Source organism: Homo sapiens, chromosome 16, assembly GCF_000001405.40.
Source record: "Homo sapiens chromosome 16, GRCh38.p14 Primary Assembly".
Classification (NCBI taxonomy): domain Eukaryota; kingdom Metazoa; phylum Chordata; class Mammalia; order Primates; family Hominidae; genus Homo; species Homo sapiens.
In genome coordinates, this window is record NC_000016.10 from 18,091,346 (window position 1) to 18,104,269 (window position 12,924).

At 42.5% G+C, this 12,924-nt stretch overlaps 1 long non-coding RNA gene across 1 annotated transcript; it reads left to right on the forward strand.

Moving 5' to 3' along the window:
• The first annotated feature begins 1,811 nt into the window (after positions 1–1,811).
• LOC105371108 (uncharacterized) lies at positions 1,812–10,585 on the forward strand. Its single transcript, XR_933147.3, has 4 exons — positions 1,812–1,896; positions 7,629–7,853; positions 9,005–9,066; positions 10,501–10,585. It is a non-coding gene; the product is annotated as an uncharacterized LOC105371108 (long non-coding RNA).
• Positions 10,586–12,924: the final 2,339 nt, after the last annotated feature.

Consider the following 12,924-nt stretch of genomic DNA (forward strand, 5'->3'; position numbering starts at 1 on the left):
TTAAAAAGAGAAATTATTTAATATATGCAGTTTCAATTTTTAAAGTTTCAGGCATGAAAGAGCTTTTGCTCCCTAATGATGTCCCTCAGATGTAGCAAGACCTGGTCTCTCTTTCACTGAAGAATTGCCTTCATTTTCACCACAGACTTCCCTTGCCTCAAAGACAGATGCTCAGTCAGAGAAAGGAGCCTGAGGATCCACAGAAACTCTCTGATATTAATTGATCTGCTCCTAGTTTTCAGTTATTCTATTTTTTAAAACATGCGACAGTGTTAACCAGGCAGGCTCACTAGCATGATGGATGGATGAGTGAGTGGGTGGGTAGGTTGATGGATGAATGGATGGACAGATGAACAAATGGACGGATGGATGGATGGATGGATGGATGGATGGAAAAATAGATGGATGGATGTATAGATGGAGATAGATATAGACAGAACTAGATACAGACAAATAGAGACATCGTTAAAGAGAGAGAGAGAGGTAATTATTTATTTTTGCAACAAGTATTTATTATCTACTTTAGGTCAGGCACTGCTCCAGCTTATAACTGTTTGTTATAACAGTAACAAAAACAAACAAACATCCACTACCTTCCCGGAGCTTAGAGAGAGACTATAAAAAATAAAAATAATATATAGAATTATAGATGGTGTTAAGTGCTATGGAGAGAGCAACATCAAGTAAAGCGTCTTGGGACCGGCTGGGAAGAGTTCCAGTTCTTAAAGAATAGGGTCAGGAAAGGACTCACCAGAAAAGTGACTTTTGAATGAAGACCTAAAAGAGATGAGAGTGTTCGGGTTCAATATTACTTTTTAAATAGACAGACTTAACTACCTGAGAAAAAAACAGGCATATCCCAAAAATACTAGGACAAGGGAAAATTATAAAAGTTGATTTAACACCAACAGGTATGTAAAGGAGATGATGACATAATGCTTAGTTCCTGGCAAGATTTAGATTGGAGAAAAATAGCATGACATGGGCACACTTGGAAGAAACCAATGGGCTATCACCAAGAAGGACCTGCTCGAGCTCAAGATAACCAGGAAACATAACCACCTCTTATGTTATAATAATGTGGTAACACAAAAAGATGGGATGGCATGTCACATATTGACTCGGAAGTAGGCAAAAACGTGAGACCAACTTGGGCTTAGATACACATACCTAGGAATATACTAGGTGAAGTTAAAGACAGCAGGAGATTGATATTCTACATAAATATGGAAATGCACTTTATGAGTTCTTGAGATTCTCTGGGGATTTTTCATAGGTCTCACCCATCACTGGTCATGTAAATATGTCATTTTTAGCAAAATCACATTCTCTTCACTTCTATCTGTTCTATATTGCTGCAAGGACTGCTTTTTGAACTAGGGTATGACAATGATCTGTCTTGATAGTGTTTGTGAGTCAATTCAGAATTACAGTGATTACTAAAGTTGGTCACATATTCCCCCCATCTCTATATGCATTCCTCTTTGTGATGTCACTTTGCTGTCCTTTCCACTAAATAGTAGAACCTATTTCTCTACCCTCTTGAGTCCTTGTCATGTGATTTGCCTTGACCAAGAAAATCTCAAAGAAGTGATGTTATGGTAATTCACAGACTACACCACAACAGGCCAGAAACGTCTACCTTATCCCTCTTGAAATGCTACCCTGAGATTGACATATGGGGAGTCTGGGCTAGACTCCTCGAGGGTGAGAAACTATGTGAAGCAAGGTCTGGCCAATAGACAGCCCCAAATGCCAGAATTGGGAGTGAAGTCATCATAGACAATCTGTCTCTAATGGAGTCCCCAGATGTGTGCAGAATAGGAATAGCCCCAGGAAAGACCAACAGAAGAACCACTCACCTGAGCTCAGCCCAAATTGTTGACTCACAGAATTGTAAGTAAACCAACAAGGTGGTTGTGTTAAGCCATTAAGTTTTGGATAATTTGTTATGCGGGAATAAATAACTAATACAGATGGTAGCTACAAGTCTCTTCCTATGCCTATGGTTGTCAAGAAGACAGATGAAGCAATTAGTAGTGGAAACTATCCATTCATTAAACAAGTACTTATGGAGCTCCTACTCTATGCACACACAGCCTAGTGGCTCACAATAAGCAACCTTTACAGCCACTGCTTGACGAAATATCTCCAGACAAAACTATTCCTCCACCATAGCATAAGGTGATGGTCTGCCCTTGTGTATCCATCCTTGTTTAAGAAACAAACTAATGTCCCTTAACTAAAGATTCTCCTTCCAGTGAGGACAAATGCAACTCCTCGTGACCACTGTTTCTCCTCTGGTGCCCTTCCAATAACTCAGAAAATCTAGACTATTGGTTGTTTATGACTTCACTGGATAGCACCTCTATTGTCATCAGGCCTTCAGGAGGTTGGGTCTTCTGAGAAATGCCTGCCCCTCACCCAGCCCTAGCAGGCCAATCCATTCCTCTTTGTGTGGTGGAGTCACGCCAGTGAAGTGGATGAGGAGTAGGATGGGAGTCAGAAAACTTAGGTTCCATTTGTGCATTCTCAGACTTGTGGGAAGATACTTCACCAGCCCCAGCCTTAGAAATGAGAGTAACAGAGCTGTACAATCTCTGAGGTGTTATTTATTCTTAAGGATACACTTACTGGCAGGGAGGAAATGCTCTAAGCCATTTACATACATTACCGACATCTTCTCTTTTAACCCTCCAGGCATCAGGCATCTCGAGGGGGTAGGCACTCCCACCTTCCTGATTTTACAAATGGGAGTCTGAGGCTCAGAGGAATTGGGTGACTTACTCAATGTCACACAGCTAGTTGCAGGAGTCAGTCTTTTAACTCAGGCCCATCCAGTCTTAAAAACATGGACTGAACCAGTGTATATCCAACTGACAGATGAGTTTAGAAGCTATCTAGTCCAGACAAGCTTGAACTCAGCTAGTCCAGCCTTTCATGCACCTCACCTATTTAGTGACAGGGAAGTCATTACTTCTCCAAGCAACTTACATTACTTTAGGCTGAAAATTGCCTGCCTGAAATTCCTGCTCACTAATCCCTCTTGGCCCTCTGTTAACATCAATAATTCCACCGATAATTACAAAGCACCTACTAGGCACCAGACATTATCCTAAGTGCTTGGGATACACGTATGAAATTGCTCATTCCAACTTGGTTTGGCCCAGTTTTCAAGGGTTTCCTGCTCAAACTCACACCTCAGCCTGAATTCCCACTCCTGAAGATTTCTTACCTCTCTGTAGTGAGCTCTGTTGATGGCCTCTCTCCATCCTGCTGTAACTCACATGGAACCTGTCTCTTCCTTCATTTCTCCCAATGATCTCTAAGACAGAGCTGTCTCATGCCGCTGACTTTACTGAAGCTCTCAGGATATGGAGGGGGATTACAGCATGCAATAAGCCATGACTTCCACAAAGTTACTTATCTCTGTCTTGAAGTTCTTCACTCACCCCTGCCGTAGGAAATTTCACTTCCCTAGCCTTTCCTCAGAGCCCAGCTGCTGTCATTTTTGGGGAGTCCTCTACCAAGTCTCTTGAATTCCACATTCCCTAGCCTTTCCTCAGAGTCCAACTGCTGTCATTTTGGGGGGATCCTCTACTAAGTCTCTTGAATCCTACATTCCCCAACCTTTCCTTAAAGCCCAACTGCTGTCATTTTGGTGGGGGGTGGGGGGGTCCTCTACCAAGTCTCTTCTCTATTTCCTTCTAATTTTTCGCAATGGTCAGTACACCCAAGACCCTCTTTCCCTGAGCTGGGAAAAGACCTCAAATTACTATTTTTTTGTCATGCATACCAATGCAACTCTTCTTAATCTAAGCTTTTCTCATCTCTACCGTACTCCAGAGGAAACCTCCCTGCAAATAAGAAAACCACACCAATTAAAGTATTTTTTCTGGGAAAAGAAAATATGCAGTTGTCTCAGAAGGATTCCTCATGATACTCCTAGGTCAACTAATTCAAACAGCAGCCAACTTTTGAAATAGAAGTTTTCTATTAAATAATAGTAATGTCAACTATTAAACCTGCACCTTGGCATATGATATGCTACATTCATTTCTTCATCTTCCAAATGAAGAAACTGAGGCTCAGAGAGAAACATTATCACTAGCTTTAAATCACTGAGCTAGAAAGTGGAAAAGTGAAGATTCAAACAGTCCCCAAACCAACACGCCTTTCCAGTGCTTGAACTATGATCAGGCAAGAAAGTGCAACACTTAAGGTGGCACTCACTCTCAGGGGCTGACTGCACAAGCATGACCCTAAGAATGGGTACTTCCTTAAGAGCAGGGTACCTAGAATCCAAGTTCAGGCAAGTGCAGGGTGAATGCAGCTTTAATTTGCATCCTAAGCACCCCGCTTGCCTCACCACAGCTGGGGCCCTGTACCTTCTCTTCCACAAACCTGAAATGCATGCTGGACAGTGACCATCCTGACTGGGACACTAGCCTGGCCCTCTGGGCTTGCATAGCAATTGATGCCTGGCTTTCCCTGTGCAGGTGGTGCTGATTAATGGTGCTGTTAAGAAGAGATCCAGCTGCTGCTTTCAGTTTCCTCTTCCTGCAGAGATCCTTAATTACTGGGCTTCACCTGTTGAGTTTCCTTAAATGACATGAGTGTGTATTTTTAAGTGGGAAAACAATTCATTAGGAAGTGCCAACATCTCAGAGGAGGTAAATCCTCCAGTTAATTTCAGAACCACACTGCTTCAGCCACATAAGAGAGCGGTCCAAGGGGGTACTGCTTTTTTCTGAACGTCACCAAGCCAAACAACCAACCTTCAGCAGATGGCAGGGAGCGGCCTTGAGAAACCACAGGGAGGGGTCATGAGATCAAACCACCCTTAGCCATCAACCTTTAGCATCCTCCCTGGTTGCCCCTTTAGCTCAGCACCCTGGGAATGATGGGTCCACACAGCCATTTAGGTACTGCTTCCACACGGCTGAAATTGCATTTGCATTTTATTAAATAAAAGCAATCTGTGCAAAAGCCTAGCCTAAAGTTACTAACAGATATTTGAGTCTAAGATAATACATCTTACAGTATTAGAATTCAGGTTCTAAGACAATCACCCTCAACCGTTGTCAATCTTTACATTAGGGTAGATTTTTGAAACTTCAGGTCCCTACAATCTAGATTCTGATTTAATTAGTCTAGGGTGGGACCCTGGCCTTTAGTATTTTTTTAAAGCTGCAGCCCTCAGTGGTGACTCCAACGTGTAGGCAGAATTGGAAACCACTCTAATTTGTATTTAATTTTTTTTTATTTTTATTTTTGGAAACAGGGTCTCACTCTGTCACCCAGGGTAGAATGCAGTGGCACGATCTCAGCTCATTGCAGCCTCTGCCTCCCAGATTCAAGTGATGCTCTTGCCTCAGCCTCCCCAGTAGCTAGGATTATAGGCATGTGCCACCATACCTGGCTAATTTTTTTGCATTTTTAGTAGAGACGGGGTTTAGCCATGTTGGCCAGGCTGGTCTCGAACTCCTGGCCTCAAGGGATCCACCTGCCTCGGCCTCCCAAAGTGCTGGGATTACAGGCATGAGCCACTGCACCCTGCTAGTTGTTTTATACATAGAGAGAGAGATTACAAAATACTTTCTAAAGGATAGATCCTGGGTCTTATCACTGTATTGCTCATACCAAGCAAAATGCCTGGCACAGAGTGTGCCACCGATACATGTTTTGTGCATAAAAATAAATAATGTCACTTGATGCTTACTAGAGGCAGGAGAAGGGACATAGAAGGAGCAATGGGGATAGGTCGGCCAAGGGGTACAAAGTTAATCAGGAAGAATAAGTTCCTGTGTTCTATTACACAGTAGGGCGACTGGAGCTAATGACCATACATTGCATATTTCAAGATAGTCAGAGAAGAGGAGCTTGAAAATGATCACCACAAAGAAACGGTAAAGGTTTGAAGTGATGGACACACACTGGCTACCCTGTTTGATCATTATACAATGTATATATGTATCAAAATATTACACTATACTTATAAACATGTATAATTATATGTGTCAATTATAAATGAAATGTTAATATGTCCCTTGATTCTTGTTTGTACCTTTTTCCAATTATTTAGCCTTACATATATATCCATGTATATATAAATTTTACATAAATGCATAAAAAGTGAGCATTCCTTTGTGTGTGTGTGTGTGTGTGTGTGTGTGTGTGTGTATGAGAAAAAGAGACAGAGACAAGCAGAGAGAGAGAGAGAGGCAGAAACAGAGAGAGAGGAGGAGACAGGGAGAGAGAGACGGCAAACTTTTTTTGCTACCAATTTTGGCTCATTTGCCCTGCCCCTCTATTCTCACCCCCATTGCCATCTCCCCACCTGCTCCAACACCTGCCCCACCAGAAAACCTGTACTGACAGTCCAGTCAGTGGTCTTCTATATAGTGTCCATCCTCATTTAATTCTAGACAGACATACAGACACACATGAGTGTGGGCAATCATTGTTTTATAGAAATGGGATCATATTCTACCAACCGTTCCCATGTATTCAACAATTCCTTGTTGCAAGCCCTCCAAGTTGATTTCTCAAAGAACTAAAAATGGAACTTTCACTGGACCCAGCAATCCCATCGTTGATATGTACCCAAAGGAAAATAAGTCATTCTACCGAAAAGACACTTGTGCTCATATCTTTATAGCAGTGCTAGTCACAATAGCCAAGACATGGAATCAACCCAGCTGTCCATCAGTGGTGGACTGGATAAAGAAAATATGGTACATATATACCACAGAATACTAGACAGCCACAAAAAAAGAATAAAATGATGTTCTCTATAGCACCATGGATGCAGCTGGAGGCTGTTATCCTAAGCAAATTAACGCAGAAACAGAAAACCAAATACTGCACATTCTCACTTACATGCGGGAACTAAACACTGGGTACACAAAGACAGAAAGACGGGAACAAGAGACACTGAGGATTCCAAAAGGGGGAAGTGAAGGAGGGGGCAAGGGCTGAAATATTACCTATTGAGTACCAAGTTTGCTACTTGGGCAACGAGATCATCAGAAGCCCAAACCTCGGCATCATGCAAGATACCCATGTAAAAAACCTGCAGGTGTACCCCATTAAACTAAAAAAAAAGAAAAAGAAAAGAAAGCCCCCAATACCCCTGATATCACTCACCTTCACTGTCCTTATTGGGCACGTACCAGTCCATAGGTGGAAGCCCCATTGCTTAGTCAGCCACTCCCCCATGGATGAGCACTCACTTTGCTTCCCATTTCTGCCCGTCAGAAATAACTCAGCCACAAACAGGAGGTCATCTGATGCCTGCAACCACCCTATACAGCACAAATATCCATGTGAATCTTTCTTCCCATCCGCAGACACATAGCCAAATGCCTAGCAGGCCTTACCTGACCCCACTAAAACAGTCTTTCTGGCCAGGGAAAATTATAAAGAATTATATGAGATCACACATACAAAAAAAAAAAAACCTTCACAGTGTGCAGAAGGCTTTGTGTCAAAGTCGAGCTCGCACGTGGCCGTGGCCGGGTTCTCTGTGGCCAGCCCCATTCACAACACAGCTCTGGCAGAGCACTCTTCAATAGCATCATTAATAGCCCATTGATCCAATTACATTTCTTTCTGTTCCACTTCAGAATTACAATCTCCTGTTCCCCCTGAAAGAGCCCAGATAGATTCCCAGATGAGTATCGGAAGAGGTAGCTGCCATCAGGACTTGCTTGATGGACCCAAGCACTCATCTAATAGTGGCACTGGAAGAATTAATCTGGCTGATATATCAGACCTCTCTCCTCCGTGGGAACTTGCCATTTTCTCCAGCCTCTGAGTTTTTCTAGTGAGATTCAGAGATACAGCCAAATGTGAGTTAACCCAGGGACATCCTAACACTGCCCTCATTGTGTGTTCCCAGCATGGGGTAGGCACTCCATAAATAATCGTTGAATTGAAAAATGCCTAAGGAGGGGTATATTGGGGCTCAAAGCAGACCAGGTCGGCTGAAGAAATGGGCTTTATCCAGATTGTGACTTTGCAGGTTGGACCAGAATGAGAGTTTGAATCTGATTCCATAGGTAATGCATAAAATGAAAATATATACTATAAAAAGGCAAAGTCAAGACCTTGAATGATAGCTGAGAAAAAAGTAGAGAGAGCTAAATACATATTCCAAGTCTAATGGGCAGGATAATGAGGGACAGAGGTAGGCAGCAATAGGACCAAAATAGCATTCATTCACTTAGTAACTGTATAATGAAGACCTACCTTACGCCGGGCACCGTGCTAAGCACTGGGGAGGCGGTGGTGTAGAAGTCATTATCCCAGCCCTCAATTGCTCATGGTCTTAGGGAGGAGGCCAAGACACAATCACATTAGAGCCATGACCAGGACAGGACAGAGCTAAAGCCTATGACAAACATAAGCCCAGGGAAATTAAGGAGTATACAGGGAGGCGCCTAAGCCAACCTGGGGAAGTATCAAAGGCTTCCTGGAGGAGGAGGATGAGGAAGAATTAGTAATGTTGAATACTGGCAGGTGAACAATTCATACTGTGAGAGGCTGTGGCCCCAGTACCCTTGCATCTGCTTTAGACTTTGACTTCTACAGTGAGACTCCTGGCCAATGAGGATCTATGTCCACAGTCCCTGGGGGTCATCAGCCCTGCACTCTCCCACCTCCACATCTTTGTCCATGTTTTTTCCTCTGTATGGATAGCACTCTCTGGTTCCCTCTCCCCAGTCTGTAAAACCATCACCTTCACCTCCCATCAAGGCACAGCCCCAGTGCTACTTCTTGCATGCAGCTTTTCCAACTTCCTCTACCTGGAATTAATCTCTGTCTCTTTCTCTCTCTCTCTGAATTTCAATAACACTTTGCTTGTTTCTCTCTTATAGTACACAGCACTCTTGACATTGTATTATAATTATTTGTGTATTTGTCTTATCTCCTCTGCTAAACTATGAACTCCACAGGGGCAGAAAAAACCTTGTCTTAACCACCTTTGTATTCCCTGCAGCGCCTTATACAAGGCAGGTGCTTGATACAGGTTGAATGAAGATTATGTTTACCAGGTTCCAGGTAAATGGAAGGAAATTAAAAGACAGCCCAGCTGGAAACAGTGGGCAGGCATTACAGGCAGGGCCCGCTTTCTAACAGCTATCATAAAACTGGCTGCTTGCTGGAGCTGTGAATTTCCCATCGCTGGTTAGAGAAATTCTTTAAAAGGGAGATTCTTTTAAAAATGGTTGTCCTAGATGATGTCTAAGCTCATCTAATTTTCACTAGGTTACTACAATGGAGAATGGTTGATGAGTAAGCAAAGACAGCAGAAACCCACTACACAGTGAAATAGGAACAGATGTGTGTTACTGTCAATGTGATTGCTCTTGGTTGAATGATGAGATCAGGGGTATTTATTAGATTATTAAATTTTTAATCAATTAAACTAAAAGATCCATTCTCAGAGAAATAATGACAGTATGTCATGAGCAAGGATTATAACTAACCTAATTCTAAACATCCGAGGATTTTTTTTGTTTTTTGTAGAGATAGGGGCCTCATCATGTTGCCCACACTGGCCTCAAACTCCTGGGCTCAGGCCATTCTCCTGCCCCAGATTCCCGAAGTGCTGGGATTACAGGTGTGAGCCACTGTGTCTGGCTGAGAATCATTTTTAAAGTTTGATTTAAACAATCGCCCATCCCCAGATCTGATTTGGGGCATCAATGGGGCCAAATGACATGGGTTTCCTAGAGAGCAAATCTCCGGATGTCATACAGATACTTAAAACCTTCAATGGCTCCCCATTTCCCTACAACACATTCCTAGTCCTCAGCTTGATGTTTGAGGCTTTTAATAATATAGCTCTTGCCAGCTGTACCTTACACAACGCCAGACACACTCAGACCAGAGGTTTCAATCTCAAGGGCATATAGGGACTCAGTGGAGTGTGCTGGGCCAGGACAAAACCACAAGGGCATGCCCCAACTCAACAACTGAGCAACTTCACAGGTCCAGCCCCTTTGCCCAGCAGAAATGCAGACTCAGCATTGCAAGCTCTTCTGAGTTTTCAAAAGAATCAGGAAATTAAGATTTTTTTTTGTAGAACCTGCCATTTTTCAATGTTAGCTTAAAAATGCTTAAACACTTTGTGAAAAATGCCCATCTGTGGCTCAGATCTCTATGATTTACTTAGACTCTATTTTTTAATTACTTAGATTTACTAAAAGGTGCTATGCTCGCACCCCTTCAAATATCCCTCCCCGATGTTTCCTCTCTCTAGGTTACTCCTCTCTGTCTCCTTTCCTGGATTTATTCCAGCCCAACCTTTAAGACTAGCTTCTAGTTGCAGTCATTCCTGCAGAATTACCTATTTCTTTTTACTCTTCCATATTGTCACAATGTTTTACAATGAACCTGAGCAGCAGATGCTGTCAGTGCCCTCCCACATCCCCTCAGCTCCCTTGATGATTTTGTGCACACCAGTTTCCCATGTGCTTTCACTCCCAACAGCCTCAGAATATTGGAATCCACTTTCTCTGAATGCACGGAGAGCTAGAAGCACCTGGGAATTTATGTTGCCCAAGAGCAGCCCTTAGCCAATGATTGACAGGTGGAGGAGTTTAAATACTTCACCTCCCTTGCTTCTTAACGGGAATTACTTCAAAATATGCTGCCTCCAGATCTCCCCTGCAGATTGAGCCACAGTTATCTTCTGCTAGACTTTGTTTGCTATCACACACCTGCTTGGGTTTTTCCTGGAAACACTTCCTATTAAACTGGTTTTAAATGAGCCCTCATTTCAGGATCTGCTTCTAGGACCTTTGATAGACAGCTTTTGACATGTTCTCCAATGATCTCCAGCACCTTCTGTTAATGCCCTTATACAATCCCCTCACCATGAGTGTGCCATGTTTCTAAATCCAAAAGTGATGAGTGTCACTTCCATGATTGGGATAGAAGAGATTGACTTCCATCTTGCCACCAGACTCTCTAGCTTGTCTTCTCTCCTTGTGTGCTTTGATAATGCAAGCTGCCACATTGAAGAGACCCACATGGCAAAGAAATGAAGGTCATCTCTAGTCAACAGCCAACAAAGAGCTCAATGCTGCCAATAACTACTGAGTGAGCTTGGAAATGGATACTTCCCCAGTCAGACCTTCACGTGAGACCACAACCTTGCACCAACATTTGATTATAGCCTTGTGCAAAACCATGAAGCAGAGGACCTAGCTAACTCGCATCCATATTCCTGGCCCACAACTATAAGATAATAAATGTGGGTCAGTCAAGCTGCTTAAGTCATGGGGTCACCTGGTATGTAGCAATAGATAACTAATACCAGACCCCAACATAAGACGATGTGTAATATTTCTATAATTAGAAAATATTCCATCCTAGATATCTCCTCCTGAAAGCCATTCCTGAGCTCCCAGACCAGGGCATTTTTGTCACCTCTGTCATGGTCTTCATCATCCTGAATTTAATAATTAATATACCCTGCCTCCCCATGTTTTTCTCCCCTACTGATCACCTTGAAGGCAGAGCTTTCAGAGAGAAAAGGTCTGATATATTTCTTTATTCATCATCTAAGCATAGTATCATATAGGAGATGCTTAACAAATGTATATTAAAGTAATTGATTTGTTAATTGTTTTCCATATGAGATTTTGGCCAAGTGCCTCCCTATATACCATTATTCTCCAGATGCCAAATCAAGGGTAAGGGAGGCCTTCAATATTCAGCAAAATCTCTACTCCATGCATCCCCCACATCATTTTCTAAGCAGTTTCTTCCTTTCCATCACCAGGGTGCTTATCAATTGTACATTGACACTTCCTCCCATCTGTTCAATTCATCTGTTGGATGGTCACTCTCTGCCACTTCAGAGCAATGGGGAGTTCACTCTGCCTTTCATACCCCTCTGGGAAGCCCAGGAAAATTATCTCTGATTAATATCATTTCTTCTTTTGGGTCTAATGACAAAATTACAGCAAAATCCAGCCCTACTTTGCACCACACTTGGAAAAAAATCTGCTCAGCTTTTGTCTGCCAACCACAGCAAAAACTTGATTAACCAGGACTCAGTGCACATGGGCAGAGGGCTTTTTCCCCCCAGTTAGCAGAGGGATGAAACTGAAAATCCCATTTATTTCCTCCCTTATTAACAGAAAAAAAGAATCAATAGGTTAGCCCACATTGCTACCCACTGTCAATAAATTCCCCCAAAGAAATTGAGTCTCTCTTGGAAAGATGAGCATTCTTGCAGGCCTAAGAATTGTGTATTCTGGGACTAAAGATAGTGTTAGAAATTAGACTGAATCAGCAGAGATCTTTGGCATGTGGAATTTTTATTTAAAACACTATTTGCTATCACTTATATTCCCGTCTTTGCCCTTCTCCCAGAAGCAAAGTATAAAAAATGTGTGTTCTCATTTTTCAAGTGTTCCAGATTCCTAAAGTCCAGTTCATATAAATTGTAGCATATTCTTATTTATATGACAGAGACTGTCACAGGCATCTAAGCTCAAGCTTATTAAACTGAAGTTTCCTATTCTATCTACTCAATGGGTTCTCATAGTCTCCTAAGCATCTCATCATCTTCCTCCTCCCTCTGAGACATGAAACTCCTACTTGGAACCTTTTCAAGGTCTACGGCATTGTGCAAAAAGAAAAACCTTTCTTGTTATGCAACTAACAGATCCTTTCAGTTCCAGGGGAAGAAGGAGCCACCAGAATGGTCACTCAATAACTTAGCCAAGTTTCAACTCTGTTTTAAGGGAAAGGAATTGCAAAGAAAGGAAACATTCGATTATTGAGCACTGACTATGCCAGGCACTGAATTGAGAATGCATTTTTTACTCCTAATCATAGCCTGAGGCCCTGCACGATCTGGTCCCTGCCTGCCTTTTTGACTACACCTCTGACCATGCCCCC